We start from the raw sequence: 19127 nt of genomic DNA, 5'->3' as shown, positions 1-19127 counted from the left end.
CATTGATCTAAATGTTTTATGTATATTTTAAATACTATTTCCTCTCCATTACCAAATACTAATGTATTTCATTGCATAAATTGATTTGTGAATCTTAATTGTTGGACAGCGGCAAGATGCATGTATCTTATCTAAAAATACTTATAAATATATATCTAGATTTAGATACAAATTTGTGATATTTCTTTTTTTCTTTTTCTTTTTTTTTTTTTTTTTTGAGACAGAGTCTTGCTCTGTCACCCAGGCTGGGGTGCAGTGGCGCAATCTTGGCTCACTGCAACCTCCGCCTTCCGGGTTCAAGCGATTCTCCTGCCTCAGCCTCCTGAATAGCTGGGATTCCAGGTGCACACCACCACGCCAGGCTAATTTTTGTATTTTCAGTAGAGACGGGGTTTCACCATGTTGGCCAGGCTGGTGTTGAACTCCTGACCTCAGGTGATCCGGCCACCTCAGCCTCCCAAAGTGTTGGGATTACAGGCGTGAGCCACCGCGCCTGTCTATGTATTTCTAAATGCTAAGTATTTAGCCCATTTGTGTACAAGTTTATTTTTAACGTTATTTTTTTAGATTCACAGTGCATATTTCCTCTCTAAAATCTTAAATATATATACACACACACGCACACACACACACAGAGATCTACACATCTAAATGAACTAGCTCATTAACATGCCTCCTGATTCCTTCTCTGCTCTCCTCCAACAGTCTGTGCTATAGCCGTACTGGACATTAAGTTCCTTGATTACATAGAATTTGTTTTTGCCTTTGGCCTTTTAATATGAGCTTATTTCTCTCCCATGGGCATTTTTTATACAAATGCTTATATGTGTAATCCTCATCATTTAGGTCACTCTATCGAAAAGATAAATGGCACATATTACTTTATAACCCATTTTCTTCTATTTTTATTTCATAGTGTTCATTAAAATCAGAAATTATTTAACTTATGTGTGATTTTGCTTATTTTGTTCACTACATATCACCAGTTCTATAGCGTCACAACATCATCGAAGACTTGCACACTGTATTTTGACTTTGTGTGTAAGTGCTGAGAGTTAACTTGGTCCTGAAGCAGGCCATTTAATGTGTAAAGTTGATTTGCTGGAAAACAGTGCCAGAGGTATATATGTATTTTTATGAACTTACATATGTATAAAAAAACTCTGGATTGATGCACAAACATTACTGAATAGTTAACTGTGACATGAGTGGGGGATCCTCAATGAGTGAAAAATTAGAGCTTTGGAGGAAAACACATCACTGTATACAGTGTCCTCTTTAGATAATTTTTATGTTTTGCTAACATAAATATATTTATAAATTAAATAAATGATATGAATTAGAAAAAGTTATATATTGTGTGTGTATGAGAGAGAGAGAGATATGAAGAGATAAAGAGATAGGAGAAAATAAGAATATGAAGGAAAATAAAGAAGGCAGAAAGATATTTTTAGGTGACCTAAAATTGTGTAAGAGACCAGTTTCTGAAGTCTGACTGCCAGGTTTCAATTCTTGTCCAACAATTACTGGCTGTAAGACATGAAATATGTGACATATAGTCATCACTTGAACATCTTGGCTGGTAAAATAGAGATAAGACGAATAGTTCCTTATAGTAGACTCATCAATAAATGTTCTAAATTACTATTCAAAAATCTTTATTTTAAAAAAAGATTCCTGAAATATGCATGTAAATAAATTATGATTTGGCACTTTCATCATGCTTTATTAAGTATTTATTGACTCAATCAGAATTTGTAAAGTTGAAGTACATCTTAAGGGAATCTAGAATAATTCATTATTTTATTATTAAGCTTCTAGCATGAATAAACCTTTACTCATGTGTTAAATGTTGCACTAAAATGATAGTTTACAAGCATTTAATGATATATAAACATTCTTATACTAACTAACTGACAGAAACAGAATACCATATTGTACATGGAACAGAATCTCATCTAGAAAACATTTTTAATATATGGAAAATACATTAGCATTGTAATGGTGATTGCCCTATGGTGGTGAAAATTTGGGAAGTTTTATTTTCTGTGGAGTTTTTACCCTTTCAAATTAATTACTTTTTTTGTTTGTTTGTTTGTTTTGAGATGTTGTTTCGCTTTTTTGCCCAGGCTGGATTGCAAGTGTGCGATCTCAGCTCACTGCAACCTCTGCCTCTCAGGTTCAGGCGATTCTCCTGTCTCAGCCTCCTGAGTAGCTGGGATTACAGGCGCATGCCACCCGGCTAATTTTTGTATTTTTAGTAGCGATGGGGTTTCATCATATTGGTCAGGCTGGTCTCAAACTCCTGACCTCAGGTGATCCACCCGCCTCAGCCTCCCAAAGTGCTGGGATTACAGGCATGAGCCGCAACACCCAGCCCAAATTAATCACTTTTAATATATTTTATGACTAGCTTAAAAACGAAAAAGATGTATACAACGGGAAATATTGTTTAAGTGTTTTCTGCTATTGACCTTAAAATTATACTTTAATCAGACTTTCTTAGTCTCTACAATTAACTTTATCATAAAATATATATTTATTAAGAATAATAATGTATGAAGTCAAATTATAGATGATTACGTAAAGAAAGGAGCATCTTAGAAACATAAAGCGGCAAAACCACTTTTAATTCTCATACCAGTAGCCATTCCTAGTTGTGTGACTTTAACATAACATCAGGTATTTTTATAATTGAAGATCATCTCAATACATCTGGCATGGTGTAAGCGACCGCTCTTTGCCACGTAAAGTACTAGGTCTCTGGGCCTACATAACATTTTACAAATTTCATTTTCAATTCTTTACTTTGAGATTTGGTGAAACCTTTGGAGGTGGAAATCAGGGCTCACTTTTGAACATTTATACGTGAGATGCCTATTAGGCTGAGTAAGAAGCTGGACATAGACAGTTGGAGTTCACTGAAAAGACCAGTGCTAAAGATGCAAATTTGGAAGTGTTCAGCTTATCAACAGAATTAACATCATGAAGGTAGAGAAAACCTTTTAGGGAGAGGTTATTATAAATAAAGATGAAAGGGAACCAGGATGAAGCTTTCAGGTACTCAAATATCTCGATGTTGAGTGTATGAAGGAGATCTTATGATCAAGAAAGAATGACTAGTTAAATGGCAAAGAAAATAGTGTGGACATCAAAGGAACCGCTATGAGAATTATTGTGAGGAGATAATAAAATGTTGAATTTTTGAGTATTTTGTAAATGTAACATATTATTATTGTCCTCATTAGATATGAAAGGGGCATATTGTCAGAAGTAATCTGGAGGTGATAGTAAAGTTTTTTGGATTTACCTATCAGATGAGCTAAATCTAACAAGATGATGTCTGTCCGTCATAAACACGATCTTGAGATGAACACCAATTACTTTGAAAGAATAGATACAAGATGGGGAAACTGTACCTTAAACAGAACATCCTAAACAAATATAAAGTGAGTAAGATTCAAACGTATGCTGTGAAAGATGTAAGGAAGCTATGTAGTGGTTAGGACAATAAAGCAGAGTTAGAGACGATAACATGATGCACAGTAGTCTCATTGTGGATCTGAGCATAAATGATTTAATCTCTCTGATCCTCCATTTATTCATATGTGAAATGGAGAGAATTATGGTGGCATCCTATGAAATTCTATCTCATAGGATTCTCCATAGGAGTAATTAAAATAACGTTTGTAACGTGCTAATGACAGTGCCCAAGACAGCACTCAATATGTAGTAATTGACATCACTGCCACCACTACAGTCAATTGGAATTCAAATCAGGTGTCTCTCACTCCAAATGATCATGATCTGCTTTTACTCCTTTAGAACATTTAAGATCTTTGGTAGCGTTGTAATATGAGATCATGCATTAGTAGTACTGCATGAACTTAGAGAACATTTCAACCTTGAAATGTCTATGAAAATTTGATAAAATTATGAGTCATTTCAAAGTTGAATACGACCTTTTTAAAATAATTATAAAACCTTGCACTGTAATTCTGAATATATCTGTTACAGACCAGAACTACAATTTGTTACCATCTTCCCCATATACTTCCTCATATATAATTTCATGGCCTACATGGCCATGCCACAAATATGAGAATAAATGACAACCTAATTGAAGCTTGTCTATGTATACGATTCTCCAATAAATGATGGTAGGTCACTATGCAAGAAATAGTGTAGGTTTGGTTATAGACAGAACTAGTCCCAATATCAAGTACTGGATATTTTTAGTTGTACCCTATAAACAAGTTATTTGGCATATTTAAGACTTAGTGTATCCCTCTTTGGCAGAGTAAGTAATGCTCACCAAATATTTCCTATTTTCACCTACATTTCAAGCCCCATTTGCTGTTAAGTAGATGCATGTAACCAGATGTGGTTAGAGTATTATGAACTGAAGACGTATGTCATTTCTGTCTACAGCAGAGAGGGAGTAGGTGTGAGTTTCAGTGTGAGCTCTCCCTGTCACTGCTAGTGTGTAGAACCCCTGTTGAGATAGCAAGGCCAAAAAATTCCAGAAGACTTAATCCCTGAATCACCTCATGGGCAACAGCTGATATGTCACCTGGACAGCTGCAGAATATTCTTGAGCAAGAAATAAACTGTTTTTAAAAAGTATTGACTAAGATATGGACATTGTTTCTTAAGATGGCATAAGTATGATGTCTTGAAAAATGTACTTCTCATCTACAAAAAGATGACAATTTGACAGGAGAATTGTCAAATTGCCCTTTATATAATGAAAAGAAGAATATATTTGTCCTCCCAATATCATGTTGTGATATTACATTTCAGGAGCATTATTTCACACTTTAAAAATGGCATTGATACTAAAAGACTGATATGAGAATTATATATCAATACATTTATCTAGACTTAAGTCACATCATCCTCAAGTGTTTTGACTAAATGGTTGATGATTATACTCTTTGCTGAGAAATATATTAACAAAATTTGATCCTAAAATTGGATGCAAGATTAAATCTTAAATCATACGTACCAAATACTCTTGATTACTACCTTTTCTGAGAAATTGAGAAGTATGATGTTCATTTTAATTCAGAAATTTCTCTTGAATTGTCAAAACAACATGCCTAGCATAAATAGGAGTCTTCTAAATATATTCATATTTCCACAGCAATTTTTGGGCACCTGTTATACAGAAATATGCTTCTGAAAATGAATAATTTAAAAGAAACACATCTGTTAAAGACAAATCACTTTATCTCTTCAGCTACTATCAGTAGATTTCAAAGTTCCTATTGGTAATAATTATTAAAACGGCTCTGATTTGAGAAGCTGTGTCCTACGTTGGAATAAACTTGCCGTATGTTATTGCTTAACACAGACTTCAAAAGTTGTGAGAAAATTGGATTATGGTAAAGACTTCTGGGCATAGCAAAGAAAATTAAAAGCTATGCATCTTACTTGCTGTTGCATGGAACTAGAGGAAATTATTTAAATGATTTAGCTTTACCTACAATATATAATATAATGTTGTACATTGTTTCATAAAACAAAAACCTCCGAATCTCAAGTCAGTCAATTTTCTCTGCTAACTCAAGCATGGAATATTGCTAATTTTCATACATCATTTTAGAAATGGCAAAATATTTCCAAAAGAATGTATATTATCTACTGTTTTTTCAGAAACATGCTGCATGACATGGAAATTGCATCAAAATATATTTTTCCACAATATTGAAGAGGAAATTAAGGCTGTGGTGCCAAATAATACATCACATAGTCTTAATCTTGCTTCTTTCTTTAATGAGATAATTAAATAATAAAACAAATTAGACCACCTGTTTTTCAGCCGAAGATTATATTGGGGCCTGGAACTGTGATCTTCATTGTAGGTATGGCACTGAGCACAGTGTCCCTGAATATATAAGAAACAGTAGTAATAATCACTGTATCTTCTGACAAGTCTTTTTCTGATCTGCTTTTCCGCTTTCTCAAAGAAAAATGTTCATTTCTTTTAGCTCTGTAAAACACAGTAAAGCACCACCTGCCTTAGGTGACTAGGAAAGCAGCTGTATCCCTGTGTCATCAAACGTAGAGGGATTTATAATCACTGTTTAAATTTTGATTCCCTCTTTAAAAAACTTTCAAGAGATTTACATTTAATAAATAACATCTTTTAGCTTCATCAACTATCCTGTATTGATTGAATTGACTTCACACTATTTTCTGATCTTAAGAATTGTACAAGTTAGAAAAGTGTCTTCTCAATGTCTTGAATATTATTGAATCACTCTGTTTCATAATGGTATTCATTGAAGGTCAAAGCTTGATGTATTCGGCAATACTTTAACTGAATACCTATCAGAGAAGATTAGAAATAAACACAAGGATACCCTTCATGAATTAAAAGAAAATAATAAATATCTTTAATACTAGGCACCTTACTAGAAATGTGAACAAATTTTGATTTACAGTAACTGATATGTTTATCATAAAAATAAAACCTAAAAGTTTAACTATAACATAGACACACACACACACACAAAGACACACACACACACACACACACACACACACATTTTTTTTTTACCAGATAAACTACAAGGAAAATTATGATTACAGTTTTTTCTCTGTTCTCTCTGAAATCAGTCAGTCAGTAGCAAAATTACTTATATTTTCAACATCTTTTCTAAACCTTCCCTTCTTCTAAACAAGATTGGGTTCTCCCCAGAGGACCTTGCTTTCTCTGCTGTACTCTCAAGCAGTCATGTTTTCTCTACAGCACAATTCAGAGCACTGGGCTGGGAAGTGAGGTAAATGTCCTCTTTGTTCCTCAGGCTGCTTTCAAAATTTCAGATTTCCATCCTCTGAAAAGTTCCAGCTTTGAAGGTTAGGCCATCAATCTACACAGTCCACTAAACCTTTTTTTTTTTTTTTCCTGGTAATCATTTATATTCATGGAGTCACAACGCTCATTCTTTCAGTATTTACCATCTAGCTACTGCCTCCTTCCTCTCACAGTGTGTACTTTCTTGGTGGTATCAGTTTCAATGTGGTGAACATTCTAGTACTCTTGCATCTCAGTTCCATAACAGCCTTCACGCTAATAATTCAGCCACCCATCATACTTCCGCCAGCCACTCCATATATATAGCATCATGGCATCACCCACAATCTCATCCCTTTCATTACAGTAATTTTACAGACACATCTCTCCAATTTCATCTTCTATTTTCTGGCTCACTCATTCTAATATCTTCATTCCAGCAAAGACTTTTACTATATAGACCCTAGCAGCTTTTCGCTCTCACTTGCCCTGAACTGCTCTCACTCTTTCCTCACCCAAGAGAGATATTATGACTGTTTGTATAAACACTTCCTGACATGTTCTCAATATACTACCCCATTCGCCCCTAAAAAAGAAACAAAGACAGAGAGAGAGAAAGAAAAGAAAGAAAAGAAAAGAAAAGAAAAGAAAAGAAAAGGAAAGAAAAGAAAAGAAAAGAAAAGGAAAGAAAAGGAAAAGAAAAGAAAGAAACAGAGCCCCAACTCTGGTTAAATCTTCTACGTAGTTACTTTTTTTGTATCTGTGCAGTTGACGGTATCTGGAAACAAAATAGAAATCCCAAATCCTATAACCTCAATTTATATCTCTTAATTGTCTCCTCCAAATTTGCCCCTGCCCTCTGTTTTTCTCATGTAAGTGAATGACACATGTAGTTTTCAGTTTCTGAGACCCAAAACATGGTGGTTGTGAAAAGAAAATAAAATCTTAGGCCCGCAATTGAGTATCACAAAAGGGATATATTAAGCTGAAAGCTGAGTCATGCAAAAAACTGCCTTCCCTTTTATTCCTAAGCAAATAGTTGCAGATTAAGAGCTAGAATATCTCCAAAGGCAGCTACTCTCACCTAAAGTGCGGACTTACTGGAGAGGAATACATATTTGACTATCCCCCCACCTGCTCCTTTCGTCTTGAAACATGTGGACTGAGTATTGTGACCATACCCTCCCTCTTGACCCTCCAGCCCCTGTTTCTGCTTTAAATACTCAAGTCCTCACATGTGGATTGAGTAAAGTGACCATGCCCTCCCTCTTGACCCTCCAGCCCGTTTCTGCTTTAAATACTCAAGTCCTCAAAATTATCTTTGGAAAAAGGCATGGATCACAGATTGTTCCTGTGGATTGCTGTTCCTTTTTTTAGGCATGTCATTAACGCTGGCAAAATAAACTTCAAATTGATTAAGACCTCCTGTCTCAGATACTTTTTGTTTTTACCAATTGGTGACCAATGGAAGGGACTCTGACTGGAGATGACCCTGACCCATGACAAAACTCCTATTGGTTCTTAGTACTAGCCTGGGCTATCTACAATGCCCAAACCAACATGACAATTTGCTGAGATCTGGGAGTTTCCCCCCTCCAAGGAATTCCTGATCTCCCCAAATTTCATTGAGATCTAAGGTTTATTTTGATGTACAATTCCTTTTCTAGAATTTTACTCATTTCCATTAAAAAAGTGAGTTTTCCTGCTTCCAGGATGGTGGATGGCTAGCAGCTCCTTTCCGGAGTTTCAGCTGGCTTTCAACAGGGAGGGTAAGTATGAGCTTTTTCCTCCTTCTATGTTGGTAGAAAGCAGTCTTCAGTCTGGGCCCCGTTTCTATATTAAGTACATGAATTTGGAGTTTTGTCTTGGAAAGTTTTCCTTAATGACTAAAAGTAAAGACTGACAACAAGCTGGTCTTAATTTCTCCTTACCATCAGAGCTCTAAATAACTGTATTTTCATTGTTGTTGTTGCTGTTTCAGTCTTTCTCCCATCAGATTTGACCAACTCTACCTGACTTGGTCAAATCCGAATGAGAGTTCCGAGTTATGCCTAACAAGGCCTTTTAAAATTGCTGAAATACTCTGCAGTTGCAAAAAGAAATGAGAGGAAAAAAAAAAAAAAACAGCCAGGAAAAAGGATCCAAAAATTTTTTTTTGGCTACTTGATGGGTTTCATCTACAGCAAGGCCACCTTTTACTAACCAAGCTACCTCCAGTTTTTCTTCCAGAAACAGCAATGACAGCCACCTCACACCGTAGTTCGGTAGATAAGATTCTGCCCTTTTCACTAAGGCAGCCTGGGTTTGGTTTGATATTTATGTAGTAGGAGATTTGAAGGGATTTCTTTTATTTTTCTTTCTTCCTTGTCTTTTTCTCCCCGCCCCCCCAACCTTTTGTTTTGGAGGCCTATGGTTAAAATCAGCTTAATTAAAAGCTGATATCCAAGCTCTTTCTCTCTATATAGATAGCTACCCTCTCTCTTGCTCTCTCTCCATGTGTGTATATACATATGTGTGTGTCTGTATATACATATATAGTATACATTAGGAGGCCCATGGTTAAAATCAGCTTAATTAAAAGGTGGTATTCAAGCTATATATATATAGAGAGAGAAAAGAGAGCTATAAATATATAAATATATATAAATCTCTTATATATATATAAAGGCCTTATAAATATATTTAAAGTTCTTATGTATATAATGCCTTTATATATGTGTATATGTATATGTATATACACACATGCGTGCACACATATATATATATATGATTTTACACTTCTCTTTTCGGATCTTGCTTTTCGGAATTTTTTTTAGTTTACTGAAACCTTTCGTTTTTTTAAACAAAAAAGAAAACACGTGCTTAATTTCTCTGTTCCATTTCTTTCTTAAAAATCATTATTTAATTTACTTTTCTTCTACCCTATTCCTCCTTTCCCCTTTACCATCTTTGGTATCAAGTGAAAAAACATCTTGAGAAGGAGTCTAATAACTCACACCCCTTAAAAGTCACAGCATAAAGGTGCCACACACCCCTCTTTTGAGGTCTTCTGCTTTCTCTGTGGAGTTTCAAGAGTCATTGGTGAATTCTTCTCAGGTCTAAAGCTCAGCTTCCTTGCATTTAGTTACTTGATATTCTTAGCTTTTGAGGGTATCAAATATTATTTTGCATGATGATAACTTTTTTTTTTACCATGGTCTGTGTGACAGCTAGGTAATATGCTTTTAGAGATGGCTAAATGGCAGCTGCTTACAGTAAATAGTTGTTACTATGGGGGCGGGGGCTACTCTCAGTGTGTTTAAAATAAGAAAGGGTACAGTTTAAACACTTAGAGAAATGCCTTAGTAACAAAGTGTACTGTAAAAATATTATATGGCCTATTCCCATGATCTCTCCTTTTTGGAGAACCAGGATTAAGTGTAGACTCTGCCCCGTGCTCAGAGGTCCAGTTAAAAGATAGAGCCTAAATTTAAAACTGCCTTTATAAGTAAAATTGTACTCCTTAAAAAAAATCCTATGGTACGGTAGATTTCTACAATTTAATGTTTGGCATGGTATCCATTTTTAACCTTCCTCTAACACACTCAGACTCTCTCTCTCTCCCTTTTGCTGTCCTTTGAGATGTGTATTTTGCTATCTGATTTTCACCTAAGAATTGTTCCTTTAGTATGCAAATTTAGGGCTCTCTGACAATTGCCTAGGGTAATGAAGTAGATTATCAAGAAAAGTGAAGTTTAAAGTAGGGGTGGAATAAAAGTCTTATGAGTCTATCAGATCTACTTCTGTCTATGTGTCTATACCTGTATGTATTTATGTGTCATATATATAATGTCTCACTATCAAAAATATATAAAAGAGCTCTAATTAATTGGCTTAAATAAAAAAGCACTTAAATACTATATCAGAAAAAAAACTTTAAGCCCAAATGCTTTTTCAAGTTCACATGACTTAAGCAAATCTTTAATAAATAAGGTGGCTTTAGAATTATTGGTAAAATAAAATTAGAAATGTCCTCAGAATTATACACATACATTATTATACATTAGATTTATTTTTCCAGAGGTTTTATAATTATATCTGCTAGATATTATAAGCTGTCAAAATTTGGCATGAAGATTTTAATGCTATAAATGCAGCTCAAAACAGAATTATCTTTGTGTAATTTTTTTATAAATAAGGCATTTTGTATTACTGATTTAATGAAAATTGCTAAATCCTGGGTTATTGGCAAAAAACTGATTTATTGAACCTTAAAGTTCTTGTTTAGATAAACAACTAGACATTCACAGGCTAAAAACAATTGTTAACAGGAAAATAACTTTAAATGATGACTAGCTTTGTCTAATACTGCAGTTTTTCTAAGTAATCTAAATAAACTATTAAAAATAGTAAATTAGGGAAATGTAATGGAATAAATGCTTATACATAAACATATAATTTAGAATCTTGAAGTTATATTATGTTAGATAATAGATATTCATTAAATATCTGGGTTATTTTCAATTAAAGATATATACATATATTAAAGAAACATCTTTTTTTTCCTTTTTTTTTTTTTTTTTTGAGACAGGGTCTCACTCTCTTGTCCAGGCTGGAGGGGAGTGACACAATCTTGGCTCACCAAAGCCTCCTCCTCCCAAGTTCAAGAGATCTCTCACCTTAACCTCCCAAATAGGTGGGACTACAGGGACATGCCACGAAGCCCAGCTAATTTTTGTATGTTTTTGTAGAGATGAGGTTTCACCATATTGCCCGGGCTGGTCTTCAACTCCTGAGCTCAAGTGATCCACCCACCTTGGCCCTCCGAAGTGCTGGGATTAAAAACGTGAGCCACTGTATTCAGCTGTAAAGCCTTTTTTTTCTTAAAAAAGTTATTAAAAGAAAAATAATTTTTGTTTAATTCAAAGGTTGTTTATAAAACAAGGTAAAAGGAAGTAGTAAATAAGGCAGTTGTAAAGAAAGTTATAAAGAGGTAATTTTGGTAAGTTAAAAGGAAAATAATTTTCTATGAGAACAAATTTTGTACAGTAAATTATTGGCCTGAAATAAAATGACTGTTTATTTAAGAAAGAGGAATAATTAGGCTAAAAGAGGAAGTCTAAGCATCTCACAAATTTCTATAAGTCTTAATAAGGTTTGTAAAAAGAAAATGTATGGAAAAGTTTTACGTGATTAAGTTGGCTAAAATTAAAAGGAAATTATTAATAATAGTCTTTCTAGAGATTGGGTTTGATATTAAAAATACACTGATACACAAAATAATTGTTTAAAAAACCAAAATTTCCTTAAAGTATTCATTTGTTCTTAATAGAATTATAAGAAATTTTAACTTTTTTTTTTTTTTTTTTTTTTTTTTTGAGACTGAGTCTTGCTGTGTCACCCAGGCTGGAGTGCAGTGACAGGATCTCATCTCACTGCAACTTCTGCCTCCCGGGTTCAAGTGATTCTCCTTCCTCAGCCTCCCAAGTACCTGGGACTACAGGTGTGTGCCACCATGCCCAGCTAATTTTTTGTATTTTTAGTAGAGACAGGGTTTTACCGTGTTAGCCAAGATGGTCTCAATCTCCTGACCTCATGATCCGCCCGCCTCGGCCTCCCAAAGTGCTGGGATAACAGGCGTGAGCCACCGCGCCAGGCCCAAGAAATTTTCACTTTTAATCCAAAAGCTTAACTTCTATTATGTCTTGCTGTTTCCGGCTTTCTCTCCCCTTTGAGAAGGCCTGAGATAATAACTCTTTCCTTCAAGTTTTTCATCAGTTTTTGTAATTATTTCCCCCCTCAGGTTCTAACTGTTGTTGTGGCCTAATGCTAAAAATATTTTATCTTCAAGATCTAAAGAAAATGTTTTCTTCTGATGTAACATTCTGTACTCTTGGCTTTTCTTAATATATCTAAATTGTTCTATGAAACTGAAAACCTTCACTTACGATTCAGGACACACTTTTCCTATGTCTGATTAAATAATTCATGTACTCTTTTCAATAGTTTTGACTTGCAGGTTATGTAAATGGACCCCTAACAGAGGAAAGCAACCTCACTGCAGAAGGTTTTTGTTTTTGTTTTTCTGCCTTTCGGTAACTGGCCTAAGAAACAGATTTTATGTTTTATCGAAATAATTTCTATGCCATTGTTATTAAGTTTCTGATTTGCTTAGTAAAACTGAGATTTAAAAATACAAGATTATTATATCCATGTAATTTTCTGTATTGCTTTTAGAGTCCCTGTACTGTTAAGTTACAGGGCTATGATTCCTGAGTCTAAAAAGGACACCAACTCCTTCTAAATCATAAACACTTACAGTAGCCTTATCTTCAGACCTGGTAGAATATGACAATCAAAATAATTTGCATTCATGAGATACAAGGCCACAAATTAGAACTATTCAAATCCTCCAGGCCCAAGGACTAACATGGAAGACGTGGACGCAGGAGACTGTAAGGGCTAATTTTCAGAGAAAATTAGTTCAGTATTTTTCGATAAATTAAACATTCATATCAAAGGCACTGATACAAGACCAGCATTTGTGCCAGTGTGTCAGATTAACGAAGTTTTCTGGCAGCTTTAACCACTCTTTAATTAAAAAAATTGTAAAAGATTATAAAAAGGCTTACGAAAATTCTGTCTTATGGTCAAGATGATTAAAATTTAATAGATTTGTTTATAAGAATTGAGAAACATATTTAGCTGGCCTCATGATGTCTTTATTAGGTCTCATTGTTTATGAAAGTGAGTCTCCTTTCTAAAAGAGTCAGAGTTTTTGCCCTTTTTTTGGAAATATTTGTATTACCACTTTGGATAAATGAATGACTTATTTTACAGTTACCTGTGATCCTATTTTGTGATATCAAGTGTTTTAAACCTCTGTTATTTGGCAAACTGGCAAAAACCAAATTGTAAATTCAGTCTTTTTGACTTCATCAATTTTTTTGATATGAGGCCCCCTGAAGTCCAAAAGAGAAATAGTCAGATTTTTGGTATAATAAAATCATACAGGAAGCATTGTCAAATATGAAATGGTGTTTAATTCTTTTTAGATTATATTTTTATAAATATGCTATTAATATGTGTTGCAAAATTGTATGAGGTTCCTGTGATTCTGTTATTTCTTAGTATATGTTATCAGTAGTAATTATAATTATGTTAGATTGCTGTTTGCCACATAAATAACCAAATTTCCTTGTCAATTCCATCTCTAACCATGGTTGTGATGGCAGCAGTGACCTTTCTGGAGCAGCGCTGTGAAGACACTGGCTGCAGTGGGGGAGGAGTAGCCAGGGCTATGTGCCCCATGGATCTGGCAGAGGTGAGGAACAGGTGGAAACCATGCCCCTACTGAGCTGGCAGGAGCCCCACACTCCAGGGTGCAGTTGCAGCCACCCAGCCATGGCTGCAGACCTCGGCATCCCTGCATTCTCAGAGGCTCAGGAAGCAACCCCTGCCCTTGAAAGCTCCTAAGTGTCTGCTCCCACTCTCTGGCCTCTTTCTCTGCTCCTGGCACCTGCTCCAGTGCACAGCAAAGTTGTGGCTGGGCGTGTGCACTGTTGCAAACCAGGGAGTGTGCACACATTTGGGGTGGTGCTGTTATGCCAGCCCCCTACCCCCACCCCACCACCTTGTCCCTCTACAAACTTTGGGCACCACATAGCACAGCAGAGAGGCAAGGGGTGGTGTGGGTGTCTTGGCCTGGGCCTGCAGGCATCTCTCAGCACGAACAACCTTGGCGCCATGGATGGCATGTTGATGGCAGGAGACAGACAGGTTCCTGGAAGGAAAGCGGAGGGTCCTCAGTGAAACCCTACCTCCAAAACAAAAACAGCCTGAAGCCTGAGGGCCGGGCTGCCAGTTCTGGGTGAAGTCCCTGGCCTGGAGTGAGGACTTCATTGATGACTGTTTGGCCAATCAGATGGTTGTTTTTCCAGGTCTGCCTATGGCCACCCATGGACCAATCAGCACACAATTTTTCCCTTAGGAGCTCATAAAAACCCCAGACTCAGCCAGACTCACAGAGACATTGGGATTACCAGCTGTGGGACGGAGCTACCTGCTACAGGTCTCCTCTATGTGGACAGCTGGACATTCATCAGGATAACCTGCCCATAGAAAGGAGCTACCCACTATGGGTTTCCTCTCTGCTAAGAGTTGTACACTCATCAGGACAACCTGCCTGTGGAAAGGAGCAACCCACTTTGAGTTTCCTCTGAGCTGTTCTGTCTCAGTGACGCTTCTCTCTGCCTTGCTCACCCTCCAGTTGTCCACGTACCTCATTCTTCCTGGACATAGAACAAGAACTCAGGACCCATTGAATGGCCCGACTGAAAGAGCTGTAACACAAACAGGGCTGAAACATGTCCCTGCTTACCATGTTGTGGGCGATGAAAATAAGAGAAGAGCTGCAGTCCTTCTGGCAGCCCAGACATAGGAGCTCCCTGAGCCAGGGCTGTGACACCCTCTTTGGGGCTCTGCCATTCCTGGCATCTCCAAGCTTGTGGGCACCACCATGTTCCCCAGTGCTCACAGTGCATGCCACTTACATTACGTCTGGCCCAGCTGCAGCCTCACATGGAGCTCGTGACTGTGCCAGTGCCAGGAGCTGCCTGCCTGCCTTAGCTGGCATGCCTGGCTGTGTTCAGTGGCCAGACCCAGTGATCATTTACACACCCCTTGCCGCTCCACACCTGGCTCACCCTTCGCAGGCGTGAGGTTGAGGCCGGCAGCATGAGCTGAGTGCAGCATGCTGGGTGCCACCAGCCACAGAGGTTTCCAGCTGGGAAAGCGACAACCCCCAGATCCCACGACACTTTGTCCTGCATTTCCACTTATGCTACCCACCCATTAGTCACTTGTAGAGGTCTTGGTTATCAGACCCACTGTTTAGATTGTAGTGCTTGTCTTCAGGTAATCCTTATTATACTTAATAATGGCACCAAAGTACAAGAGTATTGATGTTGCCATATTGTTAAAATTGTTCTATTTTATTATTAGGTTATTGTTATACATCTTTTACTGTGCCTAATTTATAAATTAAGCTGTATCATATGTATGTATGTATGTACGTATAGGAAAAAACACAGTACTTACTGTGTCCACAGTGTTAGATATTTGCCAAAGTTTCAGACACCTAATGGGGTTCTTGGAACTTATGACCCACAAATAAAAGGGAACTGTTATACTCTAAGGTTTTAATATCATTCAAACCTAAACGTCCTTTAAATGGTCTACAAGGCCTTATAATACTTGATCATACACCACCGCTCCCCCACCCCATACCCACCCTAGTCGAAATCACTAGTCTTATGCTGCCTCTCTCTCAGCTCCTTATCTAACCTTGTCACTCAAAGCCTGTACTGTGGACAAATGGCATTGGCATCACCAGGGAACCTGTTGTGAATTCAGAGATTCAGATCTCACTTCACAGTCATCAAAACAGAATCTGCATTTTAAATGGATCACCAAGCAATTCCTATGCACATTAAAGTTTGAGAAGCACTAATGTAGGTATTACTAGAATGAGAAAAAATACAGATTAAAAATAAGAGGCTTAATTCTCACTGTTGAAAATAGGAAATAGATTTTCCTCCGTTCCCATTTTGTTAGTAAGTTTACCTTAGAAACCTGAAAATGTAAGTACTTTTTCTGTTTCTTTGAAATGTATATGAATATTTTTAGAAACTAAATAAAGCTTTTGTCAGCTTTATGACCAAGGAATGTCTTTCTCAACGACCAAGGAGCCATCTCTTTGAAATGTAAACATCATGGAAAATAAGGTTCCTATCTCTCAGTTTCTGCTCGAGGGTGGAAGCCTCACTTCAGTGGGCACCTTGCTGCAAACTGCAAGACTAACTCCTGTCATAAAGATAGAAGCTGCTTTTTCCTCTGAGTAAAGACCATAGCTAACACAGATAGTCACTCCAATCACCAGGTAAAGTTAAAATGAAGTATATGTGACAAATAGTCCTGTCAAGTCCTCTTTAGGACTACTTATTGTTCATCTTGAAAAGACATATGTAATGATATGTATCTGCTTGGCTCTACGTAAAGGTGGGATTTCTCTCTCTGCCGTATTTTGCTGTACCTGCAGTCTCTTAGTGTATTTCCTGTGATTGCATCACATTCTATTTACATGCTTATTCAATAACGAAAATGTTTTCTTCCTCTATTATCTTTGTAGAGAGGATTTCTGGGTTAGGAGAAGATTTTGTTTTTAATTATATTTCCCCAACATCTGCAAGTCTTAAATTGGAAGTTTAGAAGATGCACTTATTAGTCTGCAAAAATCTCAAACTTACCCCTTGTTCAAACTACTCTTAGCCACACTGGCTTCCTTTAAGTTCTTTGAACATTCCAAACATTTTACACTACTGTTTTGTCTTCCTGCAAACTCATCCCCAGGATGTCTCACTTAAGAAGACTGTCAATTTATCAAATATTTATTCTTCCCTGTTTCATTAATAAAAAACCCTCTCTATTCCCTTTGCTTCTACACTCTCTTTGTTTTACATACGTAACAAACCTGCACGTTGTGCACATGTACCCTAGAACTTAAAGTATAATTAAAATACAGATATATATATATATATATATATATATATATATATATATATATAAAAATATAAAGTAACATGAATCGCTTTTGTTTTTCAATAATCAGGATGTAAACCCTGTTAGGACATACATTTTCTTTATTTTGTTCCCACCTCTACCTGTCCCAGTACCTAAACGATTCCCCTGATATAATGTGTATGCAAAGACTATTTGGAGACTAAATTAGAGAGTGAGTTGTCATTCATAGGAATGTGTAATGATACTAATCAAATGCTTAAAAAACAAAAATATCAAGCTTTTCACTTCAAAAAACAAAAATATCAAGCTAATTAACCCAGGTTGCATATTATGATGATTTTATGACTGCCACTATTTAAATTATTACTGAACAGTTAAATGTTAAAAACAAATTAAACCTCTTCTTTCTTGTTCTCCTTTCAAAGTTCTGTTCATGATTCTTCCCTTTGTCTCCTTTCCTACTCTAGATTTCCGCCTCTCACTGACTTGATTGCTCTGATGACCTCAATCAAAAGGCAATTACCTAGTGAGGGTAGAAGGTAATTATTCCTATCAAGTAGAGATTGAACACACCTGAATAGACAGCTGCAGTTCTTTTCAGGTTGACATTACCACAAAATTTGACTCTGAAAATTTGTGATGCATGTAAAATCTATGATAAGTTGTTTTTGATTTATTTGCAAGATTTGTAAGACAGCTATTTTTTTTTTCCTAGTAAAAGCCATATTTCCAAAGGCAAAGTTAATAGGCAGTGAATTGGATTCAGAGAAACCAAAACATTTACTCAAATTTCTAAATTAAACTTACAAAGCAAACAACACTCTGATCTAACTTAACTGGACTAAGAAAATATTGCAGAAATTACCCCTAAATGTATATTTATAAAGCTCATAATATTTTGAAACATGCAATGCGGTGTCATCCAGAAATGCAAAAAAGTCATAAAATGGCAAATTGTTTTCAAACATCAAGATTGTCATAAGTCAATGTCATGCTACATAAAGCCCATTAAAAATCCAAAGGTGCTATAATTTCTTGATATGAAATTAGTTTCAATTGGGGAGTTTTTAACAAAGCTGCTTGCAACAGCGACGAAGAGCAAATGATTTTAATCCTGAATTCTGTTCTTATTCCTATAGCTTCCTTCTACAACAAGGATGTACAGAGCCCATTCTTCTTCCCAGTTCTCTGGGTAGCCTCTTTAGAGTGAAATTAGAGCACTGGTCATTGAATTATTGTCAAAATTCTTCACTAGTAGAAGTTATCTTCTATATATTTGTTTGTTTCACCTCTCTTCCACAATACCATAAACTCTGTAAAGGAATCTGAGGTATGTTGTCCGCCCATGTATCCCCTGAGCTTATAGCAGTGTCTAGCACACAGTAGGTACTCTATGAATATTTATTAGGCGGAAAAAAAAAAAAAACCTCAATGAATAATACAGAGCTTGGATCTCCCCCTAAGTGTAAACAAAAGTTCTTCTTATTCAGCTTTGCATGCTCTTTCTGATGAAAGACACAATTATAATTTCCAGGCAATAAGGAAGAGAGCTAGGAAAGAATGAGAAGAAGATGCCTGAAAGAAGGGCCCTGCTATCCATGCTTCCGAGAAGCTGTGATTCTGTAACAGTGCAATTGGGAGCAGTGCTGCCTTCACATGGACAGCAAAGGGCAGGAATACTGAGAATTCCCAGGTTCTCTGTCCTCATGAAAGTAAAATTCAAGTAGGAAATAGGAAATATATCAAAATTTTATTTCAACCCAAG

General features: G+C 36.3%; 1 protein-coding gene across 11 annotated transcripts in view, besides 1 other annotated feature; it reads right to left on the bottom strand.

Annotated features, from left to right (window-relative positions):
- CNTN5 (contactin 5) overlaps positions 1-19127 on the bottom strand; it is a 1337937-nt gene that overhangs the window by 918961 nt on the left and 399849 nt on the right. The window lies entirely within an intron of this gene.
- Positions 15867-16842: an enhancer, noted in NCBI's record as "OCT4-NANOG-H3K4me1 hESC enhancer chr11:99293814-99294789 (GRCh37/hg19 assembly coordinates)". NCBI's record gives its function as "activates a minimal SCP1, AML or CMV promoter by ChIP-STARR-seq in naive H9 embryonic stem cells {active_cell/tissue: H9 hESC(naive)}" and the evidence as "EXISTENCE:reporter gene assay evidence [ECO:0000049][PMID:30033119]".

The sequence above is a fragment of the Homo sapiens genome, chromosome 11 (assembly GCF_000001405.40).
Source record: "Homo sapiens chromosome 11, GRCh38.p14 Primary Assembly".
In the NCBI taxonomy this organism is placed as follows: Eukaryota; Metazoa; Chordata; class Mammalia; order Primates; family Hominidae; genus Homo; species Homo sapiens.
This window is presented reverse-complemented; position numbering and strand designations above follow the sequence as displayed.